A 19,585-nucleotide genomic window follows, 5' to 3' on the forward strand; every position below is an offset into this window, starting at 1 on the left:
TAAGGGCTGTCTGTAATACAGGTTCCTCCAAGGTGCTATTTTAGCAGAGAGGCATTAACTGCTTGAGAACTCAGGGAAGCCTTCTTAAATAAGTGAAGTCCTCAATGATGAGTAAGAACCTACCTGACCTTGTAGGGAAGAGTATGCCAAGCATAGGAAATGGCCTGTGAAATGGCATTGAGCTATGAGAGAGAAAAAATAGTGCACTAAAGAAACTGGAACTCTGAATACAAGAAACCTACTAAGAACAATAAGAAATATTTTGTGCTGGCACGATGCTAAATGGTTAATAAATTTAATACATCATTCAATTATGAAACAGATGAAGTAGTCTCTATTATTAACAGAACGTTTTAGATGAGAAGCCAAGGTTCAGAGGTAATAATGAGAATTTCAAATAACCAGAAGTCTGCAATAGGTGGTTCTGTGACTAGAAGAATCTGCAAAAGTAAATGAAACTGGACAAAGATACTTTTCAGAATATTTTATAGAGGACCCAGGATAATTCATGCTGGTAGGCAGAAAGGCAGAGTGCTATTGTGTTGGGAGTGTGTAGGTCTGCAGTCTGGGCAGGGCTTGGCAGGAAGGCACACTCTGCTTGTGCTGCATCAGCCTGTGCAACCAGAAGATTGGCTTCCATGATGGTTCACAAGGCGGGCAAGTTGGTGCTGGCTGTTAGTTTCACTCCAAGTGGGCCTCTCCCTGGGGCATCTTGGGCTTCCCCATTGCATGGTGGCTGGGCTCCAAGAGTAAGTGTTCTAGCAAGCTGAAATGGACACTAAATCGCCTTTTTTGACCCAGCCGTGGAAATCACATGGCCTCGTGGAAGTCAAATGGCATCACAATAACCATAATCCATCAGTCAATCAGCCACAAAACTCACCCTGTCTCAAGGGGCAGGGAACATGGACACCACCTCTTGAAAGGGGAGCTGCAAGACTCTAGGAACTAGCAGCATATATGTGATGGAAAGTATGGTTGTGGCCAATTTTGGGAAAGAAACTGCCACATGTACAATATTTGTCAGAGTATGCTTACCAGCCACCCGCCTTGGAATCATCTAGGGCACTGTTTTTTGTTTTGTTTTGTTTTGTTTTAAAAAAAGCATTCCTGCAGCTGGAGCCCTTCCCCCAGGGATTCTAATTCTCTAGGTCAGTGCTGAGACCTGGGAATCTGCATTTAAACATCAGGGGTAATTTTGATGGATACTAACACTTGAAGACAAAAAATTCTGAACAAACGAGAACAAAAAAAACAATAAGCAAAACAAAAAGAGGTGCCAGGTGCTTTTTTTTTTTATGTTTTTGAGACAGAGTCTCTCACTGTCACCCAAGCTGGAGTGCAGTGACATGATCTCGGCTCACTGCAACCTCTCCCTCTGAGATTCAAGCAGTTCTTCTGCCTCAGCCTCCAGAGTAGCTGAGATTACAGGCGTGTGCCACTGCCCCCTGCTAATTTTTGTATTTTTAGTAGAGATGGAGTTTCACCATGTTGGCTAAGCTGGTCTTCAATTCCTGGCCTCAAGTGATCCTCCTGCCTCGGCCTTCCAAAATTCTGGGATTACAGGTGTGAGTCACTCCACCTGGCCTCCTTTTGTCTATCTTCTATTAGAACAGACAATAAGTATCATTTAGGTTAAGAGTGAGAGCTCTGGAGCCCCCAGTCGGGGTTTGAAAACACACTTTGCTTAATTTCTCTGTCCTTTGTTTTCTTCACCTATTAAATATACTTACCTTCATGTGGTTGTTGGGAAGTTTAAATGATGTAATTTGTATAAGGTACTTAGAACAGTACACAGCACTTAGCAATCACTTATTTTTTGTAATTTGATAGAACCATGTGTAGTTTTCTTTAGGAAACCAGATTTTTAAAACTTGATAGTATAACCTTGTTTGGTAGAGATTGCTTTGATGGCATAAAATTCTCTGAGAGTATTAACACTTTAACATATACATTTTTCCTGTCTCTCCAAATTGTTTTTTCTGTTTTCTTCCCCTCTTGAGGACAGCTCGCACTAAACTCATCTGGAAACGAAAATCTGAACTTCCGATTCATATAAATCCTGTGGAACAGGATATACTCTAGAAGAACAGGTTGTCACAGGGCTGAGATACGGTTCTCAAATTAGAGGGCTAGTTAAGAATCCTATTTACTCTAATACAGAGATAGACAACAAAACAGTGGTTACCTGGAGCAGGTTGTGGGGTGGAGTGATGGAGAATCAGAGATGTAGATCAGAGGGTACAAAGTAGCAGATATTTAGGACAAGTCTAGAGAGTTAATGTACATGAGAACAAGCCTAGAGAGCTAATGTATATGAGAGCTATAGGTAATAAGTTTACGCTATGTATGAGATTCATGCTAAATAAGTAGATTTTAGCTACTGTTGTCACAAAAACATAGGTAACTATGTGAGACGATGGATATGTTAATTTGCTTCACAATAGTAACCTATTTACTATTGATACGACATATTCCATAACATCATGTTGTATACCTTCAATATAAACAATAAAATAATTTTATTTGGCCACGCACAGTAGCTCACCCCTATAACTCCAGCACTTTGGGAGGCTGAGGCAGGTGGATCACTCAAGGTCAGGAGTTGGAGACCAGCCTGACCAACACGGTGAAACCCTGTCTCTACTAAAAATACAAAATTAGCTGGGTGTGGTGGTGCATGCATGTAATCTCAGCTACTTGGGAGACTGAGACAGGAGAATCGCTTAAACCTGGGAGGCAGAGTTTGCAGTTAGCCGAGATGGCACCATTGCACTCCAGCCTGGACAACAAGAGCTAAACTAGGCCTCAAAAAATAAATAAAATAAAATAAAATGTTTTGAGGCAAGGTCTCACTTGTTGCCCAGTCTGGAGTGCAGTGGTGCAAACATGGCTTACTGCAGCCTCAGCCTCAACCTCCTGGGCTCAAGTGGGCCTCAGCCTCCTGAGAAGCTGGGACTACAGATGCACACCACCATGCCCGGCTAATTTTTAAATTTTTTAGAAACAGGGTTTCACCATGTTGCCTAGGATGGTCTCGAACTCCTGGGCTTAAGCGACCCCTCCCACCTCAGCCTCCTGAAGTGCTGGATTACAAGCATGAGCCACCATTCCTGGCCAAAACTTATTTTTAAAAATCCTACTTACTATACCCATAAAATATGGATAAAATAGGATATCTAAAAAACTGACTGATCATGTACCTCATAAATATATATACCTACTATGTACCCACAAAACATTTTTTTAACAAACTAACTGGATTCCTTCAGAGGTGGGATATTGAGCAGCTAGAGAACAAATGTAAAAGGGAGGCTTTTTACTGTGTACTCTTATACTTTTTGAATTACGAACCACGTGAATGTTTTACCTATTCAAAATGTGAAATATGTATTCAGTTCACAAATTTCAATAGACTGCTCAAGAGGTATTCAAAGCTCTAACAGTGCTGATCAGGAATTATATAATACACTCAAAACTCAGCAAAAAGATGCTGGTCCAGGTCCATGGTACTGAATAAATGATGACAGTGGCCAGATAGCTTCACTAAGCTGAGCAGTGCTAGCCATAACTCTTTTTTTTTTTTTTTTTTAAGAGACAGGGTCTTGCTCTGTTGCCCCAGACTGAAGTGCAGTGGTGCAATCATAATTCAATGTAGTTTCCAACTTCTCCCCACTCAGCCTCCACCATGCCTGGGTAATTTTTAATTTTTTTGTAGAGACTGGGTCTGGCTATGTTGTGCAGGCTGGTCTCAAGCTCGTGGCCTCGAGAAATTCTCCTGCCTCTGCCTCCCAAAATGCTGGACTTACAGGTGTGAGCCACCATGTCTGGCCCAGAACTCTTTTTTCTTTCCTTTTTTCTTTTTTTTTCTTTTTTGAGACAGAGTCTCTCGCTTTGTTGCCCAGGCTGGAGTGCAGTGGTGCGATCACAGCTCACTGCAAGCTCCGCCTCTCGGGTTCAAGCAATTCTCCTGCCTCAGCCTTCTGAGTAGCTGGGACTACAGGCGCTCATCACCACACTCGGCTAATTTTTGTATTTTTTAGTATAGACGGGATTTCACCATGTTGGTCAGGCTGGTCTCGAACTCATGACCTCAGGTGATCCACCCACCTCAGCCTCCCAAAATGCTGAGATTACAGACATGAGCCACCACGCCCAGACCAGAACTCTTAGCTAATTAGTCTTTTTTTGGTTCTTTGTCAGGCCGCACTCTTCTCCTTGTTTTTTTCCAGTCTCTGCTCCTTCTGGGACTCAAAGTGCAAGTGCCTTTGCATTATCTTACAGGGGACAAGCAAATAAGAATGAATGCTATGTTGGAGGCATTAGAGGAGTCCCATTGTATGAGAAACTCTTACTCCCCCAAACAATATTTTACTGCCCCTTGCTGCTTCCTCATTACCCACCCCCAAATATTCCAGGTTTTCTACTTTGGTCTTGTAATGGCAGAGACCTAAGTACTATTTACCCTATAGGCAATAACTTAGGACATATGTGCCTGATCTTCTCAGAGTCAGGGATCTTCTCTGTCTTGGTTACCTCTGTATCCTGGGCCCAAGTGCAGGGACTGCTACATATATGCTCTCAAAAAATACTTGTCAAGGGAATAAATCAGTCGGTGCAGGCTGAATATAAACACCTGTTTGAGAATGGTTGCCATAGATTCATGATCCGTAAGTGAACACTTAGAGAAAGCACAGGATGTTTATGTCAATCTCTAAACCTTTCAACTTGACTTTCTGGAGAGCAACAGAGTTTTTCTACAAACTAATGCTTTGCAGAAAAAGAATAGAGTAGTTCAGTTTGGAAAATGGTATATCAGTCACCTTTAATAGAGGTCCTATTTCAATTCATATACAATTGTCATCAGGCAGAAGTATTTGTTTGCAAGTTCCCTTATTGTTTCTTGCAGCGTAGGGAAACTGTTTCGTGGGTGATCAAGACAGTAGAATCTGTGAGAGGAAGGTTCATGAACACTGACTCAAACAGGCAGTAGGTGGGGTGGGGGTGTGGGAAGAAAAGACTGCTCACTGATTTTAAAAAAGGAAGAAAAATTGCATGGTGGCTTATATTCATGCCTTCATCATAAGACATTGAGCACTTACAAACTCTTAACCAGCACAAGACCAGCCTGTAAGAAGGACCTAAGTGGGATCTTCCAGGGTCATAGGCAGTCCCTAAGGAGTGCTGTCTCACATGGAAGACCCTGGGAAACATGAGACCCAGGAGAATCAGAGTAATACACCTTTGCTTTGTTTAGTGTTTTATGCTTTACAAAGTGTTTGTGAATGTTATCTCACCTAGTGACAGCTTTAAGTACCTTTAAGTGCATGCACCACTAGAGTGATTTTGTAGGATCCATCATTGATTCTGCAATGTTCCTATAAAAGTAAATGGAGCCGGGTGAGGTGGCTCATGGCTGTAATCCCAGCACTTTGGAGGCCGAGGTGGGCGGATCACTTGAGGTCAGGAGTTCGAGACCAGCCTGGTCAACATGGTGAACCCCATGTGTACTAAAAATACAAAAAAAAAAAAAAATTAGCTGGGCATAGTAAGTAGTACGTGCCTGTAATCCCAGCTACTTGGGAGGCTGAGGCAGGAGAATCGCTTGAACCCAGGAGGTGGAGGTTGCAGTGAGCCGAGATTGTGCCATTGCACTCCAGCCTAGGTGACAGAGCAAGACTCTGTCTCAAATAAATAAATAAATAAATAAAAGTGGATGGAGGAGGGTGTTCCACACGTATATTCGTCTCCTTTGTCTGGGCCAGTTCCCAGTGGAAACAGGACTCCAGAGGTTGGTAACTCAAGACATTTGGCCAGAAGCCTGGCTGGAACAGGAACTCTGCAAAGCAGGGCTCACTTCTCCGCCTGTGTGTCACCCTTTCAGGTTCCCAGGAGAACTGTTTGCTTTCCACGTCCCTGGGCTTCAGTCACTTCGTAACTCTGCCAGTGATTGCATACTCAGCCCCTACCCAGCCTAAACTGTTCTCCCACTTCCTCCCACCTGGTGTGCCCCACCCAAGTTTCTTTTTAATTCACTCCCATCACCTTTCTTCCTCCTTCACCATCACCTGTCTGTCTCAAGTCTGATTGATTTCTCCCATGTTTCTCTATTATGTCACTTGCTATCTGCAAAAAAAAAAAAAAAAAAAAAAAAAATTCATCTGCTTCTAGTATGATTAGAAATGTTTTTGAAATTGTTATTTTTCTTCTAAGTGCATTGATTTGGGATCCGATATACCCTGGAACAGATGTTTTCAAACTTTAGACTGCTTGCTCACCTCAGAGACTAGTTGAACATACTAGTGAAGGGGCCCTGCCCAAGGTCTTCTGAGTTCAAGTCATAGTCCCCATGTCTCTGTGGTTTTAACAAGCTCCCTAGGGGCTACTGAAGAGTCTGAAGCTTGAGAGTCAATGTCATATAATGTGATCTTTTCAAGAAAAGCAAAACAGTTGCAACAGGAACCTTGACTTATAATTTACTTACTCCTGCTTTTCTAAACTCTTCTGACCCAATACCTATATCTTTCCTCCTGCCTGTTCAAATTCTTTTGGTCCAAGTGTGAGATATTTCAGATGGTTGAATTTTAAGTTGGCCCCAGGTGTTCAGTATTCCAGATTGTTGGGTTTTGGGTGTTCAGTATTGTTCACCTCTTTCCACTCCTGAATTTTTTTTTTCTTTTGAGACAGAGTCTCGCTCTGTCGCCCAGGCTGGAGTGCATTGGTGCGATCTCAGCTCACTGCACCCTCCACCTCCCCAGTTCAAGCAATTCTCCTGCCTCAGCCTCCCGAGTAGCTGGGACTACAGGTGCGCACCACCACGCCCAGCTAATTTTTGTATTTTCAGTAGAGACGGGGTTTCACCATGTTGGCCAAGATGGTCTTGATCTCCTGACCTCGTGATCTGCCCACCTTGGCCTCCCAAAGTGCTGGGATTACAGGCGTGAGCCACCATACCTGGCTTTCCACTCCTGAAATTATAACCAGTTGAAAAACACAACAGACAGAAATTAAAATATTGCTTTCATTATTAGTAAATCTGATTGGAGAATATAGCTCTAAATCAGCAGTCAGTTGGGCTTACTAATGTTCCCCCACTAGCCCCATAATTGCAATTATAGCTACGTAGTCACTTAGCACAGCTAGACAACTGCAAGCTCCTTAACCCAAGACAGCAAATGGGAATGCATGAGGCCAGAGGCAGGGACAAAAAAAAAAAAAAAATAGGAGAGAGAAAAAATGGGAGGAGGGAAAGATAAAAGGCTGAGCAGACTGAGTTCATTAGTATGAAATTCACCAATCAGAAAACTTATTCCTCTTGTAATCACAAAATCACAAAACCACTTGACTTTTTCTTTTTTTTTTTTTTTTTTTTTTTTTTGGAGAAGGAGTCTCGCTCTGTCTCCCAGGCTGGAGTGCAGTGGCGCAGTCTCAGCTCACTGCAAGCTCCGCCTCCCGGGGTCACGCCATTCTCCTGCCTCAGCCTCCCGAGTAGCTGGGACTGCAGGCGCCCGCCACCACGCCTGGCTAATTTTTTGTATTTTTAGTAGAGATGGGGTTTCACCATGTTAGCCAGCATGGTCTTGACCTCCTAACCTCCTGATCCGCCCGTCTCAGCCTCCCAAAGTGCTGGGATTACAGGCGTGAGCCACTGCGCCCGGCCCCGACTTTTTCTTATGCTTCTGCTTACTTCTTGTTGTTGTTGTTGTTAATAGAGATGCTGTTGTAACATCCCTATTAACAACAACAACAAAAAGTAAGCAGTAGCATAAGAAAGATGTTATGTGTTCAAGACCAGGCTAGACAACATGTTGTTAATAGAGAACATGTTGCCTCACCTGGTCTTGAACTCCTGGCCTTAAGTGATCCTCCCGCCTCTGCCACCCAAAGTGCTGGAATTATAGGCATGAGCCACCACGCCAGGCCCCGACTGCTTACTTTCTATGACAACTCCCTGAAAGCAACCCCAGATCACAACCTGGGCAATCTCTTCATTGTTTTGAACGTCCTATAATGGGTCATACTTGCACTCCCTCTAACACCATAATTTTCACATCTGGTTGCCTTTTCACAAGTGGTTCTCCACCCCATCTGCCTGATGGTTTCTTGCCCTCCTCCATGAATGTTATATGTAAAATGTTTATTTAAAAACAGAATGCTTGTTCCTTGGTACCACAAGGAAAAATTAGCATTCAGACAAAAATTCTCTCAACGAGGCAATTTTACTTTCTGCAGAAAGGGTGCTCCTCGCAGATGGAACAATGGTGACAGCACATCTGAACAAAGGAGGGAAGCAATTTTTATTCCTTATGCAGCTTGTCCTTGCTACTGTGTCCTGTCTCCATTGGCTGGAGCCAGACCTCACAGTCTAAACTGCACCCGATTGGTAACAGCTTAAAAACTTTTAAAAATAGGTAAAAGCAATGGAGAACAGAGGAAAAGAGGAAGTTGCTTACCAAAGGACTTAGAAAAGTAATAATATTCCCAAATAAGGAAGGGGCATAGGCTGCGAGCTGGGACATGCCTGTGAGCACGTCCAGCACAAATATCTTGGTTAAAGTACAAGGACATAGAAAGTACTATGTGCCTGTGAGCATGTCTAACAGCTACATAGGATAGGGCTTAACAGAGAGTTATTTGCACAAAGCAAGGAGGCTTAAAGGAAGTTAGTCTTTAAAAGAAATTATTATTTCTAACACTTATGATTTATTCTTTAACAAGAAGGGAAACTTTGAAGAGGAAACTTTTTACTTTCTACAGTGAAGTTTTCTCCATGTTCTCCAAAACACCTTGTTCATCATGTTCTAACAACAGTCACTTGTAATAATCTGTTTACCTGTCTCCTTCACCACATTGTGCACCCCTTTAAGGCAGGGAACACCATATTCTTCTTTGTTATGTGTTCAGCAGTAACATAATGGCTGCACACATTCTCTCCTTCCTGCCTTCACTCATTCTCTGCCTATGATGTATTATACTAGACCATCTATAGGAACTTTTTTTTTTTTTTTTTTTGAGACAGGGTCTCACTCTGCTGCCCAGGCTGGAGCGCAGTGGTGTCATCATGGTTCACTGCAACCCCGACTTCCTGGGTTCAAACTATCCTCCCATCTGAGCCTCCTGAATAGCTGAAACCATAGGCACATACCACCATGACTGGCTAATTTTTGTATTTTTTTTTTTTTTTTGAGCCACCAGCCACCACACCTGGTTTAGGAACTAAATTTTTTTTAAATTTTTTTTTTAAAGATAGAGATGGGGTCTTGCTTTGTTGCCCAGGCTGGTCTCGAACTCCTAAGCTCAAGCGATCCTCTGGCCTTGGCCTCCCAAAGTGCTGGGTTCACAGGCATAAGCCACCATGCCTGGTCTAGGAAGTAAATTTTTTTTTAATGAACAAGGTAGGAAAGGTAGGATCTCTGATCTTGAATTTGCATTTTTTTTTCTTTTTTTTTTTGAGATGGAGTTTTGCTTTTGTTGCCCAGGCTGGAGTGCGATAGTGCGATCGCGGCTCACTGCAACCTCCGCCTCCCAGGCTCAAGCAATTCTCCTGCCTTAGCCTCCCAAGTAGCTGGGATTATAGGCATGTGCCACCACACCTGGCTAATTTTGTATTTTTAGTAGAGATGGGGTTGCACCATGTTGGTCAGGCTGGTCTGAAACTCCTGACCTCAGGTGATCCACTCACCTCAGCCTCCCAAAGTGCTGGGATTACAGGCATGAGCCACCACACCTGGCTTGAGCTTACATTCTAATAGGGGAAACAGACATTAAAAACTAATACAATTTGATGTGACAAGTTTTTAAACTGAGATATAGAAGATGCAATGAGGAGTATATAGAAGACAGAGAGAAGGCTTCTTCATCCATCCAACATTTATCCCAGGCTCGGTGGCTCACACCTGTAACCCCAGCACTTTGGGAGGCCAAGGCAGGTGGATCACCTAAGTTCAGGAGTTCGAGACCAGCCTGACCAACATAGTGAAACCCCATTTCTACTAAAAATACAAAAATTAGTCAGGCGTGGTGGCAGGCATCTGTAATCCCAGCTACTCAGGAGGCTGAGACAGGAGAATTGCTTGACTCCAGGAGGGGGAGGTTGCAGTAAGCTGAGATCATGCCATTGTACTCTGGCTTAGGTGACAGAGTGAGACTCTGTCTCAAAAAAACAAAACAAAACAAAAACATTTATTTGGTTAGCGCCCACTAAGTGCCAGACACTATATTAGACTCTGCAAGTAAAATTATGAGCAAAATCAGATGAAGAACTACTCTTATGGGGCCAGGCACGGTGGCTCACACCTGTAATCCCAGCACCTTGGGAGGCCGAGACGGGTGAATTACTTTAAGTCAGGAGTTCAAGACCAGTCTGGCCAACAGAGTGAAACCCCATCTCTACTTAAAATACAAAAACGAGCTGGCCACGTCCCTGTAATCCCAGCTACTCAGGAGGCTGAGGCACGAGAATCGCTTGAACCCGGGAGGCAGAGGTTGCAGGAAAAAAAACTACCCTTATGGGCTTACGGGGAATGGAAACATAATGTTAATAGAATTGTCACCGAGTAAGTGCAAAATATTATGTTAGTCAGGGTTCTTGGTTACAGGCATGGAAACTGACTCAGGCTGACTTAAACAGAAAAGGAATTCACTGGGAGGACATGGGGTGGTTCACACGATCACAGGAAAGGCTGCAGACCAGGCTCAAAAAACTTACCGGCATTCCTCCTCCCAAGTTTTCTTTTTTCTTTTTTTCCTTTGTTTGGAGACAGGTTCTTGCTCTGTCACCCAGGCTGGAATGCAGTGGTAAGATCATAGCTCATTGAACCCTCAAGCTCCTGGGCTTAAGCAATCCTGCAACCTCAGCTTCAGCCTCCTGAGTAGCTGGGACTACAGATGCACCACCACAGCCGGCTAATTTTTCTTTTTCTTTTTGTACAGATGGCACCTCGCTATGCTACCCAGGCTAGTATCTAACTCCTGGCCTCAAACAATCCTCTCGCTTGGACCTCCAAAGTGTTGGTATTACAGGCATGAACCACCATCCCAGCCACCTCCCCAGTTTTCCATTGGACTCTTCTCCTCTGCCCTCTTCTAGGTATAACTTTCCTAAATCCAGAATCTTTGGGATTTGTATTTCCATTTCCAACTGGGGTAGGCTGTTAGATATGGGAGTCTGAGGTCTAATTGTGCTTTATGCTGATTTTCAAATATTCCATCACTTTTCAGCCCCCTCATCCCTCCTGCCTTCCTAAATACTTGATGCCACCAATTCCTGAGCCTTGGTGCAACTTGCATGCTTGACTTTGCTCTACCAAGTCAGGTATTCCAGTTTCTGTCGGCTTCCATTTTTGTTCTCATTGTTGTTTGGATGTGATTTTTGAGAGATGAGGGCAAAAACAACTTTGAGTTGATGTATTTTGTTGTCTTTGAGGCACAAGATTATTCACATAATTTTTTTTTTGAGATGGGGGTCTCACTCTGTCACCCAGGCTGGAGTGCAGTGGCACAGTCTCGGCTCACTGCAACCTCTGCCTCCCAGGTTCCCAGTTTGAAACGATTCTCCTGCCTCAGCCTCCTGACTAGCTGGGATTACAGGCACCTGCCACCATGCCAGGCTGATTTTTGTATTTTTTAGTAGAGATGGGGTTTCACCATGTTGGCCAGGCTGGTCTGGAACTCCCAACCTCAAATGATCCACCTCCCTTGGCCTCCCAAAGTGCTGGGATTATAGGCATGAGCCACTGTGCCTGCTCTAATTTTTATATTTTTAGTAGAGATGGGGTTTCACCATGTTGGCCAGGCTGGTCTTGAACTTTTGACCTCAGGTGATCTGCCTGCCTCGGCCTCCCAAAGTGCTGGGATTACAGGTGTGAGCCACCATGCCTGGTCATTTACAGATTTTTAAAAAATTAACATTAAATTGATTGAAGTAACAGTAAAGTGTAGTTTTTCCTCAAGTCTTCAAGTTTGATTTATAGTTCTTATTATTCTTTTTTTTTTTTAATTTAAGTTCTGGTATATATGTGTAGAACGCGCAGGTTTGTTACATAGGAATACATGTGCCGTGGTGGTTTGCAGCACCTATCAACTGGTCATCTGGGTTTTAAACCCCACATGCATTAGGTATTTTTCCTAATGCTCTCCCTCCCCTTGCCCCCCACCCCCGACAGGCCCCGGTGTGTGATGTTCCCCTCTCTGTGTCCATGTGTTCTCAATGTCCAGCTCCCACTTATGAGTGAGAACATGAGGTGTTTGGTTTTCTGTTCCTGTGTTAGTTTGCTGAGAATGATGGCTTCCAGCTTCATCTATGTACCTGCAAAGGACATGAACTCATTCTTTTTGATGACTGCAATAGTTCTTATTATTCTATTTATAGACTAGCAGCTAAAATAATACTTGAGTAAGTTAAATACATTTAAATATTAATTTTTTTTCTTTTTTCTAAGACAGGGTCTCACCATGTTGCCTAGGCTGGTCATGAACTCCTGGGCTCAAGTGATCCTCCTGTGTCAGCCTCCCAATATGCTGGGATTATAGGCATGAGTCACCATGCCTGGCCATTTAAACATTTAAAATTGCACTCATAAATCTAGCGTATATGATTTTCTTTTCCAGCCCTTCAATTTTCTGACTGATAAATATTCTCAAGTACTAAAATAATTCTCATAAATTAAAAAAATCTAAATATGGCAACTCACCTATGAAATACTCTAATAGTGCTTCCAAACCTAATACAATTTTTTACACCCTCCAACATAGACTTATAAGTCTAAATTGGCTACCTAAAGATAAATTTTTAAAATTTATTTAAAATTTAATTTAGTTTTAGATTCAAGGAGTACATGTGTATGCCTGCTACATGACTGTATTTCACACTGGTGGGGATGGATTGGGGTTCTAGTGTATCCCTTATCCAAATAGTGAACATCGTACCTGATAGGTAATTTTTCAACCCTAGTCCCCCTGCAAACTTCCTCCCTTTGGGTGTCTATTATTTCCATCTTTATGTCCATGTATGCCATTGTCAAGCTACCACTTCTAAGTGAGAGCACATGGTATTTGATTTCCTGTTTCTGAATTAGATCACTTAGAATAATAGCCTCCAGCCCTATCCACGTTGCTGCAAAGGACATGATTTCATTCTTTTTTATGGCTGCATAGTGTTCCATGAGATATCTATCTATCTATCTATCTATCTATCTATCTATCTACCTATCTCACATTTTCTTTATGCAGCCAACTGTTGGTGGGCACTTAGGTTGGTTTCATGACTTTGCTATTGTGACTAGTGCTGTGATAAACGTATGAGTGCAATTGTCCTTTTTAATATAATGATTTCTAAGGAAATCATTTTTTTGAAAAATTGGGATCACAAATTACAGAAGACACAAAGGACCTGGGAACATGTTAAAGTTTGCCCCAAGGATGCACTCAGCAAAGTCCAGACTGTGAGAATCTTTTCAGGGCAAACAACCCGGTTTATTTGACAAATAAATGCAAGGAAAAAAAAAAGAGAGAGAGAGAGGAATTGAGGAGGAACGTGTAAATTAAAGAAACTTAAAAGTGATCTCAAACAGTTAAAATGCATGCATCTAATTTGGATTCTGATTCAAACAAGCAAAGCAAATTCAAAATATGACATTTATGAACCATCTGGAAAGCTGTATATTCACTGGATATTCGAGAATGTTAAATAATCCTTGTCAATTTTTAAAAATTGTATAATGACATATGGTTATGTTAGAAGAAAGGAGTTCTTACCTATTAGTGTTTCTTACTAAGATAGTTATAGATGAAATTGCAGGCTACGTGTGATTCGCTTCAAAATAATATAGGAGAAGGTACAATGTGGGAGTACAGATGAAATAAAATTGGCCATGAGTTATCATTGTTGAAGCTGAATGAGAGGTACCTAGTGGTTTATTGTACTATTCTTTCTAATTTTTTATATGTTTGAAATTTTCTGTAATAAGAAGTCTTTAAAAATTAGAATCATAGGTCAGGCACGGTGGCTCATACCTGTACTTTCAGCATTTGAGGAGAATAAGGTGGGAGGATGGCTTGAGCCCAGGAGTTTGAGACAAGCCTGAGCAACATGGTGAGACCCCCCCATCTCTACATTAAAAAAAAAATAGCTGGGCATGGTGGCACACCTGTAGTTCCAGCTACTTGGGAGGCTGAGGTGGGGGGATCACTTGAGTCCAGGATGTCAAGGCTGCAGTGAGCCGTGATAGTACTACTGCCCTCCAGCCTGGGTGACAGAGTGAGACCCCATGTAAGAAAAAAATTAGAATTACAAAGATAAACTAATAGGCCACAAGGTGAATATAATACATTCTAAGGACTTACATATAGAATACATGCACACAAATCACATATATAGTAATATATGATGTGTATATATGTACATACCATATATATGATGTGTACACACATATACACACACAGACAAATATACACACATATATATATCTGTAATGAAATAAACCAGATCCACCTACAGTGCTATTTTCCAGTATACACACACACCATACACACACACACACACACACACACATACACGCATGTCTACATCACAGATTGGCATCTGCAGGGGTAGAGGGCAGTCTTGTGTCTTATGAGACTGGGCCCTTAACCCATGGGAGGTGGGAAGAATGGAGAGGTCAGGGTAATTATTACTCTGGGTTACTCCTTCAAGGTCACCTCAGGCTGGCTATGCCCTTCAGTTGAAGGTTACTTCCCCTCTCAAGGTAGCTGCTGCAGGACTCTCTTTTTCTGGGCTCTGATAACTGCTCCCTCTCTTTGTACCTTCAGGCCTGGAGGGGCATGAAGGAACAGCCAGTTTTACTAAGCCCAAATTCTTCTTCTACTACTACTACTGCTACTACTATTACTACTACTACCTGTGATTCTGTGATTCCCTACATACAACTCACACTTCTGTGAAGATACTTTCTGTAAACAAACCCTCCTGAAACCATCCCGATTTGAGTAAGTCATCTGTTCTCTTCTGGGACCCTAACAGATATACCAACCTTTTTGTTTTTATTTTTGTTTAGACAGAGTCTCCCTCTATTGCCCAGGCTGGAGTGCAGTGGCATGATCTTGGCTCATTGCAACCTCCACTTCCTGGATTCAAGTGATTCTTCTGCTTCAGCCTCCCAAGTAGCTGGGACTACAGGTGTGTGCCACCACACCCAGCTAATTTTTGTATTTTTAGTAGAGATGGGATTTTGCCATGTTGGCCAGGCTGGTCTCGAACTCCTGATCTCAGGTGATCTACCCACCTCAGCCTCCCAAAGTGCTGAAATTACAGGCATGAGCCACTGCGCCTGGCCATTATTGTTCATTTTAGACCAGATTTATTTTTTCATTTTTAGTTACATTTATTAGATTATTCCTGGTAGTCAAAAGGGATGGCTTTTATTTCTTTTCTTAATGCCTAAGAAATAAGTTATCTCCTTGGTATAGATTTTCACAAATAATTATTAGACAAGATTTTGTTAAGCATCTATAAGATATGATTATGGTTAGCATTGATTGAGTGCTTACTACCTGCGAGGTACTTTGCTAAGCTTTTTGCTCACTTTCTGTTATTTATTCCACTCAACAATTCTATAGATTACAGGTGTGAGCCACCGCACCCAGCCAGAAAACATATTATCTTACTTTTACAAAGGATAAACTGAGACTCAAAAATATTAAGTAGTTAAATTACCCCAAATAACATAGTTAAGAAGCAAGGGGAGATTCAAATTTAGGCAGCTAGATTCTCAGACTCCATTTCTTAACCTCTACACTCTACTGCCTACCTAACATTATGCTGGACCTCCAGGAGCTATAAAGAAATAATTAAGATGGTCCTGGCTAGGCACAGTGACTCATGCCTGTAATCCAAGCACTTTGAGAGGCTGAGGTGGGTGGATCACTTGAGGCCAGGAGTTCGAGACCAGCCTGGGCAACATGACGAAACTCAGTCTTTACAAAAAATAACAAAAAATTAGCCGGGGGTAGTGGTTTGTGCCTGTAGTCCCAGTCACTAGGGAGGCTGAGGCGGGAGGATTGCTTAAGCATGGGAAGCAGAGGTTGCAGCGAGCTGAGATCACACCAATGCATTCCAGCCTGGGTGACAGCACAGGACCCTGTCTCGAAAATGAAAATAAATAAATAAATAAATAAATAAATAAATAAATAAATTTCTATTTAAAAAAAGAAATAAGATGGTCCTACACATGGGGAGCCCTTTAAGATGTTAAGGATAGAGAAGATATTAAGTGTAAAACTCATTTTGAATGGTCATAAGAAAACTTTTGAAGGAAAAGCAGTTTATAACTCGTGATCTGTATTGTACTCAGTAGAATAGAGGACCTTATATTTTTATCAGTACTAATCCTTTATAGATATTTTTCTTGAATTATTTCTGATTTGAATTATTTTGATTCTGTCATTTCAGATAGGATTAGTTTCCACTGTTAGTAAAAGACAAAGTATTAGGTTGTTGCACAGCAGCCTAATACTTTGTCTTTTACTAACAGAGCAGCAGTTTGTCTTCACAGATTATATGGCAAATTCAATTCACTTCCTCAGGAAAGCCTCTCCTGTCCTGAGTACACTAGTCAGATGTTCCTGATATGTGCTCCATGACATCCCTTTCCTCTGAGACACTCAACATAATTGTCATAAAATAATTAATCCCATCATTATATATTTAATATCTGTCACGCTCTGACTATATAATCTGTGAAGACTGCTGCTCTGGTGTCTGGCAAAAATTGGTGCAATTACTTTTGCACTAACTTTTGCCATTACTGTAAATGGCAAAAACTGCAATTACTATAACAGCAGATTAAACAAGATAAAAGTCTACTTCTCTCTTTTGTAAAAATCTGTAGTAGGAAGTCTCAGGAACCTTGTCTACAAAGCCATCAAAAATCCAGACTCTTTCCAGCTGACTGCTCCGTCATTCCAAGGTCAAGGCCATCCTGGGATTCTACAATAATGATCATTAAATCCACATGCCAAGAGGAAGGATGAAGTAGGGAGCAAAGAGGGTGCATACTAGTTGGCTTTAAGGAAGTCACATGACCACACCTAGGATTGCAAGGGAAGCTGAAAAATGTAAATTTTTTTTTTTTTTTTTTTGAGACAGGCTCTCGGTCTGTCATCTGGGCTGGAGTGCAGTGGCACAATCTTGGCTCACTGCAACGTCTGCCTCGCAGGTTCAGGTGGTTCTCGTGCCTCAGCCTCCTGAGTAGCTGGGATTACAGGCACATGCCACCGTGCCAGGCTAGTTTTTTGTAAAAAAAAAAAAAAAAAGTGTGAATTTTATAATTGTGAGTAACCATATACCCCTGAATTAGGGGTTCTGTTAATACAGAGAAAGAGGAGAAACCTCTGTTAGAGGATAGCTTGCAGTTTCTGCTATAGATTTCTCAGTTTCTGGTGGGAACATTTATCCCTATGATTTAAGGTATAACATTTATCTTAACAAGGCAAAGCAAACACTTCTTAAAGAGAATACTTAGTGTTTACTAGAAAAACAGGGTCTTGAATTTTGGTTAAGTTTGAAATAATGTGGTCTCCTAGAAAGCTTTATTTGTTAATTTTTTTTTAGGCCAGTCAAGTGAAGCAGCGGGAGTGGAGAAGGAACAAAGAAATCTGTAACTGGTTATGATCAATGAGTTGTAAACACCGCTGCACTTGAACCAGCCAGTTTTTGGCTGTCAGGAATAACATTAAAATAAATCTGCCTTTGCCATCAGCCTCATTGCTTTTGCTAGCACCCTATATTCTAGTCACACAGGCCTCATTTATTTATTTATTTAGAGACAGGGTCTTGCTATGCTTCCCAGGCTGGTCTCGAACTCCTGGCCTCAAGTGATCCTCCTGCCTCACCACGCCCCCAGCCCTACCACCAGTTGCTGGGATTATAGGCTGAGCTACTACACCGTCTCTTTTGTTTCTTAAAAGAATCATACTACTTCCTATTTTAGCGCCTTCACACTGGCTGTTCCCTCCGGCCCTCTTCCTCTACCTAACTTCTACTCTTCCTTCACGTTTCTGCTTAAATTCGCTTCCTCAGGAAAGCCTTTCCTGTCCTGAGCACACTAGTCAGATGTTCCTGGTATGTGCTCCATGACATCCCTTTCCTCTGAGAAACAGTCATACAATAATTAATCCCATCAGTATATATTTAGTATCTGTCACCCTCTCATGATATAATCTGTGAAGACAAACTGCTGCTCTGGTGTCTGGTACATATAATAGGTCCTCAATAAATATTTATTAGATAAGTAAATGAATTAGAATAAATTAAAAATCTAGGAGTTGCAGGAAAGCACCTAATAATGAATTAACTTTAAAATGAAAAATATCATCTTGAGAGGCTGAGGAAGGAGAATCGCTTGAGCCCAGGAGTTTGAGTCCAGGCTGGACAAAACAACAAGATCCCATCTCAGAAAAAAAGATGAAAGCTATATTGTAAGGATTTCTCTCTCTCTCTTTTTTTTTCTCTTTCTTTTTTTGAGACAGGGTCTTGCTATGTCACCCAAGCTGGAGTGCAGTGGCGCAACCATGACTCACTGCAGCTTCAACCTTCTGGGCTCAAGTGATCCTCCCACGTCAGCCTCCTGAGTAGGTGGGACTAGAGGCATATGCCATCACACCTGGCTAATTTTTTTAATTTTTGTAGAAACAGGGGCCTCACTATGTCACCCAGGCTGGTCTCAAACTCCTGGGCTCAAGTAATTCTCCTGCCTTGGCCTCCCAAAGTGCTGGGATTACAGGTGTGAGCCACCATGCCCAGACTTCATTTTTTTTTTTTTGAGACGGAGTCTCACCCTGTTGCCCAGGCTGGAGTGCAATGGCACAATCTCGGCTCACTGCAACCTCCACCTCCCGGCTTCAAATGATTCTCCTGCCTCAGCCTCCCGAGGAGCTGGGATTACAGGCACCGACCACCACGCCCAGCTAATTTTGTATTTTTAGTAGAGACGGGGTTTCACCATGTTGGCCAGTCTGGTCTTGAACTCCTGACCTCATGATCTGCCTGCCTTGGGCTCCCAAAGTGCTGGGATTACAGGCATGAGCCACTGCACCTGGCCCCAGACTTCATTTTTAAAAAGCAAAATTAAAAATTTTTTGTACAGATGGGGTCTCACTATGTGGCCTAGGCTGGTCTTAAACTCCTGGGCTCAATATATCCTCCTGCCTTGGCCTCTGATAGTGCTGGGATTACAGGCATGAGCCACCATACCCAATGTAAAGATCTTTAATAATCAAAATAACCCTTTAAGTCCTGATGATCTCTAGGAGGCTTGTGGTTCTACACTGACAATTTTAGGGTGTTCACAGGAAAAAATATGTGCATACGTGTATATGTATATTTATATATGCATATTAACAGTAATAGGAGAAAACCTAAAAATAATGTGTTTGTGTGAAAGAAAGGGAGATTGAAGGAGAATCGGGCTATCTAGTTCCTATCTCAGCTCCACTTGCCATAGAACTTTAGAATAGTACACATAATGTGCTCAATAAATGCTAGCTATTATCATAATATAGATATAAGAAGAGAGCTGGGTGCTGTGGC

This window comes from Homo sapiens, chromosome 12 (assembly GCF_000001405.40).
Source record: "Homo sapiens chromosome 12, GRCh38.p14 Primary Assembly".
Lineage (NCBI taxonomy): Eukaryota > Metazoa > Chordata > Mammalia > Primates > Hominidae > Homo > Homo sapiens.